Source organism: Homo sapiens, chromosome 7 (assembly GCF_000001405.40).
Source record: "Homo sapiens chromosome 7, GRCh38.p14 Primary Assembly".
NCBI classification, from domain to species: Eukaryota; Metazoa; Chordata; class Mammalia; order Primates; family Hominidae; genus Homo; species Homo sapiens.
The window spans coordinates 38,455,934-38,474,364 of NC_000007.14; the positions used below are offsets into that span (position 1 = coordinate 38,455,934).

General features: G+C 38.3%; 1 protein-coding gene across 8 annotated transcripts in view, besides 6 other annotated features; it reads right to left on the reverse strand.

Moving 5' to 3' along the window:
• The window catches only part of AMPH (amphiphysin), a 247,670-nt gene that overhangs the window by 72,230 nt on the left and 157,009 nt on the right, over positions 1 to 18,431 (reverse strand). For all 8 annotated transcript variants that reach the window (XM_006715690.5, XM_011515271.4, XM_017011996.3 and 5 more), the window contains exons 8-11: positions 10,240 to 10,315; positions 9,534 to 9,616; positions 7,042 to 7,180; positions 5,350 to 5,478 (exon numbers count right to left, since the gene is read on the reverse strand). In XM_006715690.5, coding sequence (XP_006715753.1) covers positions 5,350 to 5,478; positions 7,042 to 7,180; positions 9,534 to 9,616; positions 10,240 to 10,315 — 427 coding nt within the window. The remainder of the gene's footprint in view (positions 1 to 5,349; positions 5,479 to 7,041; positions 7,181 to 9,533; positions 9,617 to 10,239; positions 10,316 to 18,431) is intronic.
• Positions 638 to 807: an enhancer, noted in NCBI's record as "experimental_98567 CRE fragment used in MPRA reporter constructs". NCBI's record gives its function as "activates a minimal promoter by MPRAs in K562 erythroleukemia cells, with activity observed for both the introgressed and non-introgressed 7:38496256 variant alleles {active_cell/tissue: K562}" and the evidence as "EXISTENCE:reporter gene assay evidence [ECO:0000049][PMID:34662402]".
• Positions 3,476 to 3,645: an enhancer, noted in NCBI's record as "experimental_98569 CRE fragment used in MPRA reporter constructs". NCBI's record gives its function as "activates a minimal promoter by MPRAs in K562 erythroleukemia cells, with activity observed for both the introgressed and non-introgressed 7:38499094 variant alleles {active_cell/tissue: K562}" and the evidence as "EXISTENCE:reporter gene assay evidence [ECO:0000049][PMID:34662402]".
• Positions 7,737 to 7,816: an enhancer, noted in NCBI's record as "active region_25873". NCBI's record gives its function as "activates an Ori minimal core promoter by ATAC-STARR-seq in GM12878 lymphoblastoid cells {active_cell/tissue: GM12878}" and the evidence as "EXISTENCE:reporter gene assay evidence [ECO:0000049][PMID:35858748]".
• Positions 8,839 to 9,008: an enhancer, noted in NCBI's record as "experimental_98573 CRE fragment used in MPRA reporter constructs". NCBI's record gives its function as "activates a minimal promoter by MPRAs in K562 erythroleukemia cells, with activity observed for both the introgressed and non-introgressed 7:38504457 variant alleles {active_cell/tissue: K562}" and the evidence as "EXISTENCE:reporter gene assay evidence [ECO:0000049][PMID:34662402]".
• Positions 10,512 to 10,681: an enhancer, noted in NCBI's record as "experimental_98575/98576 CRE fragment used in MPRA reporter constructs". NCBI's record gives its function as "activates a minimal promoter by MPRAs in K562 erythroleukemia cells, with activity observed for both the introgressed and non-introgressed 7:38506130 variant alleles {active_cell/tissue: K562}" and the evidence as "EXISTENCE:reporter gene assay evidence [ECO:0000049][PMID:34662402]".
• Positions 15,789 to 15,958: an enhancer, noted in NCBI's record as "experimental_98581 CRE fragment used in MPRA reporter constructs". NCBI's record gives its function as "activates a minimal promoter by MPRAs in K562 erythroleukemia cells, with activity observed for both the introgressed and non-introgressed 7:38511407 variant alleles {active_cell/tissue: K562}" and the evidence as "EXISTENCE:reporter gene assay evidence [ECO:0000049][PMID:34662402]".

Consider the following 18,431-nt stretch of genomic DNA (forward strand, 5'->3'; position numbering starts at 1 on the left):
GCACCTCTGAGGGCTGCTGTGGAACCAAGAAATGAGAAAACTGCACTCCCCACAGACCCACAGCTACCTGCCTATACTACACCACCTTAGAGGGGCCCCCACCTTCCCCAGTTGCAGTGGGTGCCATTCTGAAAGCCTAGCTTCCAAAGGTCTGCATCCCTCCCTGGGGCCAAGGCTGATGCTACTGCTGCTACCACCAGGCCAAAGAGGGAGAGGGGAAGCCAGGCACTTGCAGACACTTTGTGGACAAATCCCACTGCTGCTGCTGCAGGTTGCAGCGGGACCAAGGCACAAGGAAACTACGTGTCCCACAGCTACCTCCCTACACTGCTCCCACCATGAGAGGCTTTGACCTCCCTAATAGCAGGTCCGCAGGGCAGTGTGGTGCCTCCTACACCTGAACATTTTGTCAGCAGGCTGGAAACCACCCTACCCAGCATGTCACAACCAGTGTCAATGTAGCTTGACCTCAGGACAAGCTATTGGATCAATCTTGTCACCCCAGTGCTTCAGCATGCTGTTCAGGGGCCTGGAAATCTCCCAGCCCAGTCTACCACTGTTGGCACCTGAATATTCCTCCTGGGTCTGAGATTGGGCCAGCCCAACCTGCCAAAGCTACCACAGGTGGCACCCACCAGAATGCACCAGCAGCAGGCCAAGGGACTGGCACACCCCACCTGTCATAGCTATCACCAACACCAGAGTGGACCACTTGGGTTCCCGTGGGTTACTCCACCACCGCTACTGACATCACCCACATCACAGCAGCTGCCCAGAGATTTGAGAACCTGACCACACACTCAACCTACTGCTGCCACTACCAATATCTGAGCAAGCCACCTGGAGCCCAAGAATCAGCCTGTCTGGACTCACTAACACTGGAGCTAGTGTAACCCACATTGGAGCCAAGCACAAGCAATGCTCAGTCTACCACTGCCTCCACTGGGGCCCAAAGACTGGTCAACCTGGCATCCTTGTCCTCAGCAAAACTTTACCCTGGCCCCCTGCTAGCAAATGCACCCTAAGTCATTGAGGAAATCACAAGTACAACTGACACTATTTACAGCCAAATAAATTATACAAAGATCACACTACTACATGTGGCCAAAATCAAAGCCAAAATGTCCGACCCAACCAACAACATATATACATCTTCAGAGAAAAGCCCTCCCCTACAAAAACCAATTTCAAAGAATTGGAAGAAGCAACCAGATTGGAAATTGGAAGTTATACCAGATGCACAGATATCAACACAATGAAACAGAATCATAAAACAGCAAGGAAATATGACACTTCCAAAGAAACAAGATAAAGAATTCAAAATATTGCTTTTAAAGAAGCTCAGTGAGATACAAGAAAATTTTGAAAAACAAAGAAATCAGAAAAACATTTTAGGATATGAATGAAAAATTTACCAAAGAGATATTTTTTAAAAGAAACAAATAGAAATTCTGGAACTGAAGAATTTGTTGACTGAAATACAAAACACATTTGGAAGTTTCAACCAGAGGCTAGATCAAACAGATGAAAGCATCTCAGAACTTTAAGACAGGTCTTTGAAATAACCCAGTGAGACAAAAATAAATAAAAAAGAATGGACAAAGCCTTCCTGATATTTGGGACAATATAATGCAATGAAATATTTGAATTATTCGTGTCCTTGAGGGCCAAGAGAGAACAAATGGGCTAGAAAATCTATTTAATGAAGTATTAGGTTGAAAACATCCCAAGTCTAGCAAGAGACCTAGCCATCCAGATATAAGAAGCCCAAATATCCTTAAACAGATACAATGCAAAAAGGTCTTCTCAATGCTATATTACAGTCAGACTATGTACTAAGGCAAAAATAAAAGACAGAATCCTAAGAACAGCAAGAGAAAAGCATCTGTTTATTTAGTCAGTTTATCTTTTAATTTAATCTGTTTTCTTTCAAGGCTATTACTAATATGTGAAGTTTTGTGACTGTCATAATGTTAATTGTTTTCTGGTCATTTTGTATGTGTGTGTGTATATATGTCACATATATATGTCATACAATGACATATATGTCACCATGGTTTGGTAGTATACTGCAGTAGTACCACTTGAGTCATTCCTCTTCCTCATTTGTGTGTTTGGTCTCACAAAAAGATTGCGGAGGGATGGAGGGAGGTGGGCAAAGGTAAAATACTACCTACTAGGGACTATGTTCACTATCTGGGTGATGAGATCATTAGAAGCTCAAACCTCAGCATCACGCAATATCTCCATGTTACAAAACTCCACATGTATCCCCTGAATCTATAATAAAATAAAAATAAAGAAGTCTCCCAACAAACAGAAGCCTAGAATTAGTTGAATTCACAGCCCAACCCTATCAATACCAGTCCTCCTGAAACTATTCCAAAAAACTGAAGAGGAAAGAACTCTCCCTAACTCATTCTACAAGGCCAGCACTATCTTAATACCAAAACCAAACAAAAACACCAACAACAAAAAGAAAACTATAAGCAAATATTCATGATAAACATAAATGCAAAAATCCTTAACAAAATACTAGCAAACCAAATCCAACAGCACATCAAACAGATGACACACCACGACCAAGTGGGATTTATATCAGGGATCTAAGGATAGTTTAACTTATGCAAAACAATAAACCTAATATATCACATCAACAGAATTAAGCACAAATCTACATGATTATCTCAATAGATTGAGAAAAAGCATTTGATAAAATTCAACACTGCTTCATGATGAAAACTCTCAACCAACTAGGAAATAGAAGGAACTGACCTCAAAATAACAAAGGCCATATATGACAAAAGCACAGGTAGCATCATAGTGAATGGGAGAAAAGCTGAAAGCCTTTCTTCTATGAACAAGATAAGGAACAAGATAAGGATGCCCACTTTCACCTCTCCCATTCAATATAGCACTGGAAGTCCTAGCCAGAGCAATCAGGCAAGATAAAGAAATAAAAGGCATTCAAATTGGATAAGAAGAAGCCAAATTGTTCCTCTTTGCTGATAGTATGACCTTATAGCTAGAAAAAATGAAAGAATCCACCCAAAAAAAACCTCCTAAATTTGATAAATAAGTTCAGTAAAGTTGCAGGATATGTAAAAAAAATCAACATACAAAAATCGGTAGCATTTCTGTACACCAATAAAGAGCCAGAAGGGAAAGAAATCAATATGGCAATACCATTTACAACAGCTACAACAAAATAAAATACCTAGGAAGAAATTTAGCCAAGGAAGTGAAAGATCTGTATGAGGAAAACTACAAAATACTGATGAAAGAAAATTAAAAGGACAAGGATCAGAAAAATTAATATTGTAAAAATAACCATAATGCCCAAAGCAATCTACAGATACAATGCAACGCCTACCAAAATACCAACAACATTTTCAGCAGAATTAGAAAAAATCATAAAATTTGTATGAAACCAAAAAAAGAGCCAAAATAGCCAAAGCAATTCTGAGCTACAAGAACAAAGCTGGAGGCATCACATTACCTGACTTCTAAACATATTACAAGTCTATAGTAACCAAAACAGCATGACATTGGTATAAAAATAGACACGTAGACCAATGGAACAAAATACAAAGCCCAGTAATAAATCCACATTTTGACAGCCAACTCATTTTCAGTAAAGGTATCAAGAACATATACTGGGGAAAGGACACCTTCAATAAATAGTGCTGGGAAAATTGGATATCTATATGCAGAAAAATAAAACTGGATCCCTGTCTCTCCTGATATATAAAAATCAACTTAAGATGAATTAAAGGCTTAGACATAAGACCCAAAACTATAAAACAACTAGAAAAGGACATAGGGAAACACCTCAAGACATCAGTTTAAGGAAAATTGCATGGGTAAGACCTCAAAAGCACAGATAACTATAATAATAATAGAAAAAATGAGGCTATATTAAACTAAATGGCATCTGCACACAAAGGAAACAATAAATAGGGTGAAAAGACAACCTGTTGAATGGGAGAAAATATTTACAGACAGACATTCAACAAGGGAATAATATTCAGAATGTACAAGGAACTCAACTCAATAATTAAAAAAACAAATAATCCCATGAAAAAGTGGGCTAAGGACATAAATAGACATTTCTCAAAAGAAAACATACAAATGGCCAACAGATATATAAAAACATGCTTAGCATCACTAAGTATCAGAGAAATCCAAATCAAAACCAAATTGAGATGTCATCGTACCCCAGTTAGAATGGCTATTATTAAAAGAACAAAACATAATAGATGCTGGCAAGGATATGGAGAAAAAGGAACTCTTATACAGTGTTGGTGGGAATAGAATTGGTGCAACTAGTACAGAAAACAGTAGGGAGATTCCTCAAAAAAACTAAAAATAGAACTACCATAAGATCCAGCAATCCCATTATTGGGTACTTATCCAAAAGAAAAGAAATGTGTATATCAAAGGAATACCTGCACTTGCATGGTTATCACAGCACTATTGATAACAGTAAAGATAGAGAATCAACCTAAGTGTCCATTGATGGGCAAATGGATATAGAAAATGTGGTATAGACACACAATGGTATAGACACACACACACTACTGAATCAAAAAAGAATGAAATAATGTTGTTTGCAATAACATGGATGGAGCTGGAGGTCATTATGTTAAGTGAAATAAGCCAGGCACAGAAAAGACAGATGCCACAAATTAATAATATATGGGAGCTTAGAAACAATCGATCTCATGGAGATAGAGGATAGAATAATAGATACCAGAGGCTGAGAAGGATGTGTGGGTGGAAGGAGGAGATAAAGAGAGGTTGGTTAGTGGATGCAAACATACAGTTAGATTGAACAAATAAGCCCCAATATTCAATAGCAGATTAGGGTGACTGTAGTCAGCAACACTGTATTAGGTATTTCAAAGTAGCTAGAAGAGACGACTTGAAATGTTACCAATGCATAGAAATGATAAATGCTCAAGGTGATAGATACCCCAAATACCCTAACTCGATCATTCCACATCCTATGCATATAACAAATACATGTGTCCCATAAATATGTAAAATATTTGGTATCAATAAAACAATTTTTAAAAATAAGATAAATTATTCATTTTACACTTTTCAATATTTTTCCAATTTTCTATAAGTATATACTACCCTTAATTAAAAAAAAGATAATTTTCAAATACCGTACATCTCCCATGTAAGAATGCTTCAGACTAACCAAGTAATTAAAACAAGCCTGAATGACAATTAAAATTATGTTGTTGGTTCTGGAACCGCCACTTTCTTTAGGGCTAGCCCCTGAGAGTCCTTCCACCATGGGACTTTCATGGACATACCAGCCCTGAACCAGGCACTTACCTGGGAAGGTGTTGTCACACTGATTTCTGGAACAAAGTTGTCCTCAAAGAAACTGATGATGTTCTCCTGCTGCAGTTCCTTTGTCGGGGTGACTTTAGGTAGAGGTGGGACAGGAGGCCCTTTCCTTGTCTAGGAAGCATTAAATACAAACATTAATCCAGCCAAAGACAATGTGTCAGACACGAAGAAAGGTCACATGAACAGAGCTACATGGACAGATTGAGCTCTGATTGAAACTTGTATCTGCATATAGCAGCAAGCCTATCTGATACAGGTAAAGAATGCTGTCTACTTGTGAGGCTCTCTGAGCCCTGATAAGCCATGGTTCAAGGCAAAAACAAAACTGAGGCTATAAGAGTCCATTCATCTCAACTCAAGTACAATACACAGAGCTGTAGGGCCAGGCACATATACTTTAAAGGTTAAACTAGGGCAATACCCTCTTCTGAACTAAACTGAAAATAATTTCTCATTTTGGAAATAAATTAAAATTTCAAAACTAAAGCAGCTTTTCATTTGAATTGGTGAGACCTACTATAGGCAGCTTACATTTCACTTTCCATTCAAGGATTTTGAAAAGTAGAAAACTTTAAAGGTCTGTTTAATGCATGTATCTTCCCAAGACTTTCCTTAGTTCAACTACATATAGATGGTCCTCAACTTATGATGGTTCAATCTATGATTTTTTTGGACTTTAGGAAAGTGTAAAAGCAATAGGCATTCAGCAGAATGTGTGAAAACACTCTCTCATGAGGCGGGGCAGTGGCAGTGAACCACACTTCCCAGTTAGCCCTGTGATCACGAGGGTAAATGACTGCTATTATGTTCTACAGTGTACTATAGTCAGTAAATTACACAAGATATTCAACACGGTTATAAAATAGGCTTTGTGTTACATAACTTTGTCTAACTGTAGGCTAATGTTAAGCGTTCTCGGCGCGTTTAAGGTAGGCTGGGCTAAGTCATGATGCTCAACAGGTTAGGTGTATTTAATGCATTTTAACTTGCAATATTTTCTACTTACGATGGGTTTATCAGGACACAACCCCTTTGTAAGGCAAGCAGCATCTGTACAAGAAAGCTTGAACTGGACTGGGGACTATAAATTTTTCTACAGAAATTTCATTTTCACCCAACATAGGGAGAATAAAGGTGGTAGTTTCTCTCTACAGTTACCTTTGCCCAGCCCTTATTGTTTCTCTTCAATTATTTCTTCAATTCAATTTTATTAAGTGGCCACTCATATGCAAGTGTGTGTACTAAAAAATGTCCAGGTGTACCAAAAAATGTGAGATGACATATAAACATAACCGCTTTTCTTGGCAGTACCTGCCAACTCTAAACCACTAGGAGAGGGAAGGTTTCATGCAGAGGTAGGATTTAAATGGAGCATTGAAAGAAAAGAGTTTTGTAGCAAGAGATAGGAGAAGAGAGAGCATGCTCGCCTGAGCATGCCGAGAACGTGGTAAGAAGTCCCAAAAAACTTGAATATAGGGCATGTGAGGAAATATCAAGTCAAATAAGAAAAGCAGGTGGATACCTTCATGACAATCACAATGCCTAAAGCCTCACATCTCAGTCTCCCTAACTGGAAACTTCTCTTAAAGCCCCGGCACCGTGGGATTATCCTAGATGGGGCCACCTTCATCTCATCATGAGCTCTATCCCCCAATATATTTGACCTCTTCCTACCTGTGAAGGTGACCGAGGCCGTGCTGGTGCGGGAGACGCAGGTGCTAATGTATGATTTGGACTTGCTGTCGGGCTCGGGAGGGGTGAAGGCTCCTCAGGCGGTGATGGTGTCTTTGCAATGCGGAGAGGACCCGAATCACTAGAGGAACACAGGGGATTGGGCAAGGGGCCTTCTCAAGAACAGTATTCATCTAATCAGGGGTTTTCCATTTCAGAGAAACCCAGAAGCCTAACAGGTACTGTCTGTTGTCCTGCTCTCCCCTTCCAGGTTAATTCTGGTTAATTGCAACAGTGATGGTGATAACTGGTACCATTTATTTGCACTACAGAGACCTCATTCATGTATTATCTTTTGTCTTCACAGTAGCCATGTTTTATTGTCCCCACTTTACAAGTAGTAAAGTGGGGCATAGATAGGTTAAAAATAAAAACTCTAAAATCACCCAGCCATTTAGTGAATCTGAATTCAGGTCTTAGTAATGCAAGCCCTCTGTTCTTTCAAACAAGTTCTGCAAGAATCTTCCAAACATAAGCTGAATTGATTTTACTCGTTTCACTTTCTATTTACAAGAGAATCTTGCCATGTCACAATCTATAAAAAACTATGAAAATTGTAACTTTTATATTAAAAGGTAACCTTAGGATAGTGTTAGTAAGGATTTTGTAGAAGTGCTTTCTAATAACATTTGGAAATAAACTCACTAATTATTTCTCTTTCTAGACCTTATAAATAACTACTCAACTCAGGCATCTTGAAATGTGCAACAAAATCAGACAAGATTCAGTTTCGTTTACTAAGAACCCACCATGTTCCTGGCATGCGGCCAGACGCTCGGGAACAGCCCAAATGTGATGACTAAGAAGCACTCAGGACACATCCTACTCTCTAAGAATTTCTAAAGTCTACAGCTCGAAGAAACAGAGTCTGTACCCCAAAATAAAAGAGCATGTACACAGCAGCATGGTCTACATATTCAAAGGGCTGAGGAAACTGGGTCCTTTAGCGAGAACACAGACATGCCACATGATTGGGGTCATATGCCAGCAATCATGGCCTCAGATGGAAACATAGCCCCAATCTAAGCTTAATAGAGATGCCACTGAGCTCACTCACCACCTCATTCTGCAGAGGAATGTTGAAAAAAAGTGAAAGGAACATTCATTAAGTGGTCATGGCCCCGCTTTTTCTTCACTGTATCTCATTTGGCAACATTACAATTTTCAGATGAATTTGTCCCTTTCATTTCCATGTAAGGGAACAACCCTAAATTTTTTCATGCACTTCATTTTTAAAACACTCAAATATCATTCTGATATTCCCATTCCAATTCTTCCTTCGTGCCTAGCCCCATACTGAAATAACCATACTGAAAACAGTAACTCTGCCTCTCTTATGTATTCTTTCAGGCAATATTCTTTCCCTTAGAAAGAGAAGATATACTACTGCTTACATAGTATAGAAACCATAGCAGAACCTATAAGTAGGGCTAATCCAAAGAGCAGGGAATAAGAAAATTAACAATCTCTAGAGGGATCCAAACATTAACATATGTAGAAGTTGGTTCATGTGTATGACTATGTGTGTTTTCATAAATGTATGCAAATAAGTGTTTGTATTAAAATGGCAAATATAGAATGTCAGGACTGTATATTACCTTGGAAACCATGTAGTTCAATAGTATCTTTTTTTTTCTATTGAATTAAAAAAAATGAGACCTCTAACCAGAGAGGTTTTGAACTTACTCAAGGAAGGCAAAGCAAGTTAACTGCAAAATCAGAAAACCGAAAGCTGGGTCTTCTGACTCCCAGCTCACTAGCCTTCAATCTCTGAGTACGTAAAGTCTACGAAGGATGGAATAAAAAGGATTCCAGAATCACTGGAGAAAGCTGGTGTGCAGCCGAACCCTGGCAAGGTAGACAGGTCACCTATGGATCATTGGGGCTCCGGGGTATTTGACTGGCATACTCATAATGCAACGTGCAATAAAACAAAAACAGCACAGTGTTCACCAGATCAAGAGTCAGGAGGTAAGAGGAAGATGAGATCTCACCTACTTCCTCTTTCCTTTCCCAAAATGGATTCATGAAAGACGTCAGCATCAATGATAACAATCAAGACAAACTGTCATAAACTTTGGGAATTCCTTTCTTCTCCGGAGAAAATATTAAGTGCATAACAAATTATATATTACAACAAGCATATACATTATATATTAAAATTTCACACTGTTGCTATCAGGCCTCATGGAAAGCAGAGAGAGGCAGAGAGGCAGAAAGTCAATGCTGTTGTGACAAGAAGAAGAATCCTAGTTGGGTCACTGAAGGCCAGACATAAATGTAAAAGCACAAAAATAAAATTAGTGTCAGCTTCTAGGGTGAAAAGGCTCCTGTGGGACTTTTGTAGGATAAATAAAATAGTACAGGCTGGTCCACAGATTGAAGAAATTTTAGCAAGCAGGACATTACAGGTGCTCCAATGAGCAGGGGCCTACCTGGGCGCTCCTTGGATGGTGAAGGCCTTGTCGGCGTGCTGGTCACCCAGTTTTGTCATCACTTCATACAGTTTGTGGCAAAGCTAAGGGGACAGAGGCCACTTGTCTATTAGTCACATGTCATTCTGGTGCCAATTCAGGCTATTCTCCCCAAGAAAGAAATTGCTTATTGAGAAGCTATAAATTTTATGATAGCTTGGATGGCCTCAGGATAACTGAAATTCTGTATACGGTTCAAATTTAAAATCTATGTCAAAACTGAAACAAACGAAACACGAGTAAACTAAATATATATGTATATATTTATTAACCAGAGTACAGGGCAGAAAACAAAAGCTTACTGTTTACATTGACTCCACCCTTTTGAACAACAACAACAAAAAGCAATCAACAACAGAGTTGATTATCTAAATACTTTGAGAGCAATTTTTCATTAGCCTAAAATACCACTGGGAATTCCAACTTTATAAACTGCCTGGTAAAAGAAACAACACTGTAAAACTGTGGCAAAATCTTCAAAAGATACAAAGAACTATGTGATCACTATGAAAAACCGTAGAAATGTTATCGAGGGTAATAACACACTGCTAAAAGAAACATACAAAAGGGTGAATTCTTTGGATAATTCTATCCCATTTCATTTGCTTCCAAAATAAACCTTCCTTTACTTTATATTCCATATGCAAAAATTATCGTCATGACTCACCACCGCAATTTCCTTATGAAACTTGGCTTCAAGGCTGGAGACGTTTTTGAAAGTATTAACATAAAATCCAACTCGTCTGCCATGTGGAAACACAAAGAGGAAAGAAGAGAGAGGGAAAGACCAGTCAGTAAAAATAATTTTAATAGCAATGAAATGTATGAAAACCCAGGTTTCTTTTACACCATTTTGAATAACTTTGGACTAAATAAAATACTGAACCCAAAGCAAGCCCAACATTTCCTCATCTGTTAATGAACAAAAACAAGTATCTTTTGGCATAGAGCATGACCTCTCCTAAAATTCAGTGCCTTAAGACAGTGATTCTCAAACTTTAGTGTGCATGAGAACCACCTGAAGGGTGTGTTTCTGATCTAGTAGGTCTGAACATGAAGACTGAGAATTTGTATTTCTGATGAGTTTCTAGGTGATAACTGATGCTGCTGATTCAGAGACAACGCTTATGGAACCCCCGCCCTGAGAACTTATTTATATTTTAGTTACTGTTTCTTGCTTTCAAGATTTGAGAAGTTCATTATTAACTTTTATAAACTATAAATGGTCTAGTTATTATTATGTGTTTGGACTCTGAAATTTGTTTCATAGAAGGAAATACAAAACCCGTAAATTAATTCTAACTGCTCATCAAAAATAAGAGCGTGTCATCACTGAGTAAATGAAAACATAAGCTGCCCCTTCATAATAGCAATGAGATTAACTTCTTCTATGGCTTATCTTTACTTAAATCCCTAACATATTTGACTTAATCTTAAATTTCTATACCTACAGTGATCATGTGACCCTGACTTCATATATTTTTCTTTTAATTGATTTTAAAAGATCATATACTTATTCATAAATACATGTGCATATACCTATTCATATGCATACAAATACACATGCATATAGACATCTATTCATTAATAAAGAAAATCCTCCACAGTGTGTTTGGGAAATGGTAAGCCCCCAGGAAGATCAGACCAGAGCCTGGGAGAGGAAAGCCTAGTGAGGAAGCAGATGGTTCTCTGGGGCAGAGGTCCTTGCCAGACCACGAAGCACAATATTTATTGGCAGGCAGTGGGCAAACCCTAGATGTGTCTGAGATAGGGCAAAGGAGAACACTTGCACCTGTATTTGAGGAAGCTAATTAAGGCAGCAGCTTGACAGGCAAGGAGAGACCCTACAGGCTACCTATACATTATGCAGAGGGACCCCACTCGCAGTGTTTGCAGAGAAGTCTTCTGGGGTACTTTGAGTGGCAACTCATGACCCCTTCTCCAAGGCCCCAATCAACTGGGACAGTAATTCTTAACACTTTTCTTCCTTCAATTACTTCCTTCAATTACTCAACAAAGGACCTATCCAACTCTGGGTACATGCACAGTGGTAGGTGAACATGTCTCTAGGAACGTACAATCCAGTTAGAGAAGCATCCAGAGGGGCTGCTCTATTTATACTTACAATGGAAATATGTGTGTGTGTGTGTGTGTGTGTGTAAGAGAAATAAGCAGATTTTATATATATGTGTATATATATATATTAGAAATAAGCAGCTTATAAAACCACATGGGAATGTTAAGTTACAACAAGAAGGCATACATGATTACATATCAAAAGTGAGTGGATATGGGCAGAAACAGAGAAACTGAGAAGAGAGGAGAGCAATGGGCCCTGTGACAGCTGCAAACATCTGCTTAAGAGGACAAACTTGGGCTGCAGAAAGAAGTGTCCAATTTAAATAGAAGGTGGGTACAGATGGAAGAGGTGTGTAAGCTGAACTTCACTGGAGAGTATTATTTTATTTTTATTAATTTTTTTCTATGGTAAATAAAACCCTAATGAATATCTATGATTAAGGTTTTGTACACAGCTTATTCATTTCCTTAGGACAGATTTCTTGAAGGTATTTGCTGGTAAAAGGAGTGAACCAAATAAGCACTGATGTTCACCGTCAGACTGCTCAACTGGTCGCACTAGACTGGGCCACTTATAGTCCCTTACATTACCTTACATACAACCTTTATAAATATGATAGCCAAAAGTTAGCATCTCACTGACTTTGAAGTTTATATTTCTTCAATTAAAGTTAACACTTTCATTCATTTATTTATTGCTCATTTGTATTCCTTCTTTTGTGAATCACCTATTCAAATTTTTTTATTTCTTAGTATTGTTTTTCTTATCAATATGTAATGGCACTTCTATTAAACATATTTAACTTTGGATGCATTAGGCAAAAACAAAAAAGAAGTCCCATTCTTCTATATTTCAATTTTGTTTTCTGATATACAGCATATCTTAAGTTGTCAAATCAATTATTATCCTGAGAAAATGGTATAGTATCAGAAATATCTTATTTAGAATAACTAAACATCTATTTCTAATATTTTGTTTTTTAATTTAGAAATTAACTAGCATGTATTTAATTAGGATAAAGTGTCCAACATTTTTGATACAACTGATAGTGATTTTCTCCAATTTATGAAGTCAGAGATCCTGCAAAGAGGGGAATGCCTTTAACTAGTTCACTATTACAGCCCTAGCACCTAGTACACGGCAAGCATGAGTAAATGAATAAATTCCATAAATGAACAAACAAGCCAGTGAATGAAGAAACTTGGCACTCATTCCACTATAAGAGCATATTCCGATGTGACCCTGGCTTGTAAAAACTTAATGTAACCAGCAGTAGAACATACAGACGGCCGGGCGCGGTGGCTCACGCCTGTAATCCCAGCACTTTGGGAGGCCGAGGCGGGTGGATCACGAGGTCAGGAGATCGAGACCATCCCGGCTAAAACGGTGAAACCCCGTCTCTACTAAAAATACAAAAAATTAGCCGGGCGTAGTGGCGGGCGCCTGTAGTCCCAGCTACTCGGGAGGCTGAGGCAGGAGAATGGCGTGAACCCGGGAGGCGGAGCTTGCAGTGAGCCGAGATCCCGCCACTGCACTCCAGCCTGGGCGACAGAGCGAGACTCCGCCTCAAAAAAAAAAAAAAAAAAAAAAAAAAAAAAAAAAAGAACATACAGACACAGAGTACCAGCATACCAGGCTCTTGATTCTGATATTATCTGCTTAAAAGTTTCATTTTGCACAGGGACTCTGAGACATCACCATTTCCCCAAATGTGGCATCCTCAGGACACTTCTTATTAGCTGTCAAAACCAACTTAATTTCTTTATTAAGATGTTTCTTTGTTCTCAGAAATAAAGGAAAAATTAAGTTGAGCTTATCACAGCTACAGATTGCAGACCTGAGCACTCTCCCCTTCGCAATGCCCTAAGGAAATCTGCCTCCCTGGAGGGGAGTGTCAGTGCTTCCTGCAGACCCTCTTGCAGTGGAGGAGGCAACCCTTGCTGTCCTTCACTTACTATGGAGATGGAGTATGAGGAAGAGTTTTTTCCTAGCTCTCTTCTGATCCTCTAAGCTCATTTACACTCCATTTCAGGATTAATGGCACTCATATTAAACCTCTTCAAAGCTTAATATCAACCTCTCAGCAAGACTCCTCAACCCCAACCACAATCCACAATGGCATGCCTCATGGTTTCCCCTCTCTCCCTCACCAAATCCTAACACTAACACAGTAGATCTCAACAACCCTATGACTATCCAGCCAAAACATGAGCCCTCTAACTAGGGACCCCAGCATTCTATTTATACACATTCTGCATTGGCCTCTGACATCTTGGATCTTGCCATGACTCACAACTATTTCACCTCTGAAATGGGGCAGATTAGTGGCCCACCCACTAACCTAATTTCCTGGGCCATGAGCTCCCTCATTCATTCATTTCCATTCCACCTGCTTCTTTCAAAACCTCTGTGAGATCAATGCACTTTTCTTCCAGGCCACTACCCTTGATCAGGTTGAACATCCTGCTTTATCAAGCTTGGGCCCTGTGGTATACCCCTCAACACTCTCTGGTCAGTCCTATCAACACCCTTCCTCCTTGTCCTGATCCCCTGTTTGCCCCACATATCTTCAGTCCTAAATTATTCCACCTTTACCACAACTATGCCATCTTCTCAAAATGACAAAAGTTATTTTTAGAAAGCTCCCCTTGCCCTCTAATTTCCCTATACCAGCTGCCACAATTCCTCAGGCCCATCATAGTTAGAATCCTCAAAATAACAGACACTGTTGCTGCTTCCTCATCTCCAATGGAGTCTCCAATGCCTATAATCAAGCTTCTGATCCCAACATCTACTGAAACCCCTCTGGACGTTTACCAAAGGTGATGCCTCTTTAGTCCTCATCTGCTTGATACCTCTATTGTAAATGATAGTCCTGGCACTCCTCATTTTTAAAATTCTCTCCATTCTTGCCTTTTTGAGATATCCCTCTGTCATGGCTCCTTCTACATCTCTGATTAATTTTTGGAAGGCTTTTCCACAGTCCCCTCTTCTTTTGCACATTCCATAAAATATTAGTGCTCTCAAAGGTTCTGCTTTGATCCTCATCTTGCCATTTGATCTATCCGACCATCTAATTCATCAACTCTCATGGCATCATTACCACCCATATGGTAATGACTCCCAAACCTCTCTTCAAGCTTTAGACTTAGCTTAATAGACATATCTTTTTGAATTTCCTAATGATTCTTCAACTCAACATATATAAGCCAGACTCAATCTTCCCAAAATTTCCTTTTCTTTACATATTGTCTATCTGTTTGAGGGACAACTTCCCTAAACATCCAAACTATAGTCTGAGTTACACCATCTCATGTCACTCTCTACTAAATTATCGTTTTTTAAAATTTTTTCTGCATTGAACTTATTGTCTGATATCTTATTTTTCATTTCTTTTAAAGATAACTGCCTTTCCCTGTCCTTCAATATAAGCTCCAAGCAAACAAAAACTTTCAGTACAGAATCTTTAACATCTAACAGAGTTCTTCACACACAGTAGGTGGTCAATAAATATTTGTTGAATGCATGATAAATGTATCTGATCCCTATCTTTCTCCTGCTTCATCACCACAAGCCCCTCCTAGACACTATCACTCTGACCCTGAGTTACATTAGACTAAAGTTCCATGAACCCAGATATCTGCTTCAACCCACAGGCCTTTATTCATACTCTATGTCAGCCTAGAATATCCTTTTCACTAAATGGTGGTTTTACTTATTTTACAAGATTTACCTCAAGAATTCTCTTTAGAGTCCTTCCTTCTTGGTGATACCACTCTATCATCTCTATCTATATAATCTATAAGCTCCTTTACAACCTGCAATCATATTCTAGTATTTCCTTTTTTAAAATTGAACCTGCATCCCCCTCTAAGCAGTAGTTCCATTTCTCCCTCATGAACTACTAATCTTTGAAGATCAGTTTAAATCCAAAAATTTGAAAGTTTTCTACACTTGGCAGTAATGGAGGAATAGAGAAACAAAAAAGACATAAGGCACACGAAGCAATTACCAAAATAGTAGACAGAAAAGCCTACATTTTGGTAACTATATAAAGGTAAATGGACTGAGCACAGCAATCGAAAGGCAGAGGCTGGCAGAATGGATAAAACACACACCATGTGCACACACAAATGATCCAACTAAATACTGCCTACAAGAGACACAATTTAAATTCAAGATAGGTAGAAAGTTTAAAAATGGAAAAAATAATATTCCATGCAAAGAGTAATGAAAAGAGAGCTTGAATGGCTATAGTAATATCAGACAAAATAGTCAAAATTATTAGAGACAAAGAAGGACAGTTTATAAAGAAAAAACAGTCAATCCATCAAGAAGATATACAAGTTATAAACATATATACACCTAACAAAAGAGCCCTAAAATACATTAAGCAAAAGCTGACAGAAATGAAGACAGAAATAAGCCCAATAATGGTGGGAGACTTCAATATCTCACTTTCAACAAGGCAGAAGATAGTAAGGAAATAGAAAACTTGAACAACATATAGTCAACCTGAACCTCACAGGCATATATAGAACATTCCACTCAACATTCTGAAGGATTATAAATAGTTTGATGCATTAATAACTAACATGTAATATGTTTATTACTTCATACCCAGTATTATGCATTTCCTCATAGGAGGCAAAGAAGATACAAAATACTAATTTCAATTTCAAGGTTGAGTAATATGGCTTGTTAAAGAACATATGTATTTATGGAATAACTTGAAAAATTATGACTAAATGCAATCTCATTTTAGATAAAGAGAGGCCCTAGATAAAAGCAGCAGGATTCACATGAAAACAAAACAAAACACCAAAGTGTTTTTAAATGCTACCTTTAGGATTTACAAGCTTAACAACCTAAGGTAAGGTATTTAATTAATATGATCTTTAGCTTCTCATCTGTGAAATGGAGAGATCTGTAATTGTAATGATTAGAGGTTATACATGTAAAGTACATAAAATGACAGCTAGCAAATAGAAAGTATTCCAAAAAATGATCTTTGGTATACAGCATACACAATGCACACAATTATTATGGTTGAGTAATCTGGATTTCATTAAGAAATATGCTACATAGAAAGGAAGGCCTAAGTCAGGTTTTGATCGAAAGGCAGGATCTGGATTGAAAAACTAGTTTTGACTGATGTTATTTCCTAAGTGCCAGAGTGAGACATTAGATTGATTTCAAAAGCATTGAAACATTTATACTGCGTATGACCAGAAAAGGGGAAAGGTTTCTTTCCAAAATTATCCCTCAGATATTCCCTTTGTTTTTAAGTCCCTACAAAGTCTTTCACGCTACGAGACACTCCAACAATTACTTTACTTTGAATAACCAAATACAACTTAGGAAGGGCACAAAAGACTGAAATAACATCAATGCTAGTTTTGGATGTAGTAGAGATCACTAGAAAAACCTTAGTTATATACCCAATACATATTAAGGCAAATAATAAATATCTGTCTCTTGGCAATTCTGGCAATTTCCCCAAAGTTTCATAATTGGCACTGGCAATTTCCCAGGGGTATTATCTCATAATTGAAAGCCTTGAACACTGTGGTACCCAAGACTTTTTGAAGATCAGTTTAAAAAGCGATTAAGCAATTACATTAGAAATCATAAAAAATTCCTTTACAGGGGAAATAAAAAGTATAACTGTCTTAATTGTATGTAAATGACAACCTGTGTTTGGAACTAAATAGCTGTTGAAGATGATGATAAGCTCTGGAGAACTACTAGTTGAGATGATGAGTATCTTAAGTAAGGACAAAAACAAGTGATGCTAAAGATATATGTAAAGATTTTGGATAAAAGTATTCCATGAAGGCCGGGCGCGGTGGCTCACGCCTGTAATCCCAGCACTTTGGGAGGCCGAGGCGGGTGGATCATGAGGTCAGGAGATCGAGACCATCCTGGCTAACAAGGTGAAACCCCGTCTCTACTAAAAATACAAAAAATTAGCCGGGCGCGGTGGCGGGCGCCTGTAGTCCCAGCTACTCGGGAGGCTGAGGCAGGAGAATGGCGTGAACCCGGGAAGCGGAGCTTGCAGTGAGCCGAGATTGCGCCACTGCAGTCCGCAGTCCGACCTGGGCGACAGAGCGAGACTCCGTCTCAAAAAAAAAAAAAAAAAAAAAAAAAAAAAAAAAAAAAGTATTCCATGAAATGTAAGAGCAAAAAAGTAATATCTGTATTTTTTAAAAAAAAGCCATAGCATCATATAATTTGTGATTTTAAATAAATGTGAATAACTAAATAAATTCAAATCATAAATAGATATTTGTTTTATCTCTATCCCTAAAAGTTGTATATATTCAGGTTGTTTAAATCCTCTCTGGGGGAGAGAAGAGGTCTTCTTTAGGCACATACAGTGAGGTCCTAAGCAGGCCACAGAGATGTCAAGGTGGAGCTTCTGAAAGAAAAGGTGTACAGCAAGAGGTCAAAGAAAGAAATGTAAGGGCAAGACTACCATCATAATACACAACAGGATGACGAGGGTTAGGGTGGGGACAGTGGGACCAGAGAAAGGGAGAGTGATCCAGAAGCCCACACCAAAAAATGATAGATTGATTATTTTGATGGCTCTTTGGTTTCCTGTAGGTAACAATTGCAAAGCTTTGAGGTTTCGGAACCCAGAAATAATGGCACCAAAAAAATAAAATAAAATAAAATAAAATGAAATAAATAAAAAGAAAAAGAAATGCAGATGTAGAGAGAATGAGTAAATTCAGATGAACAATGACATAATTTCACATGTTGGACTTTGGGTG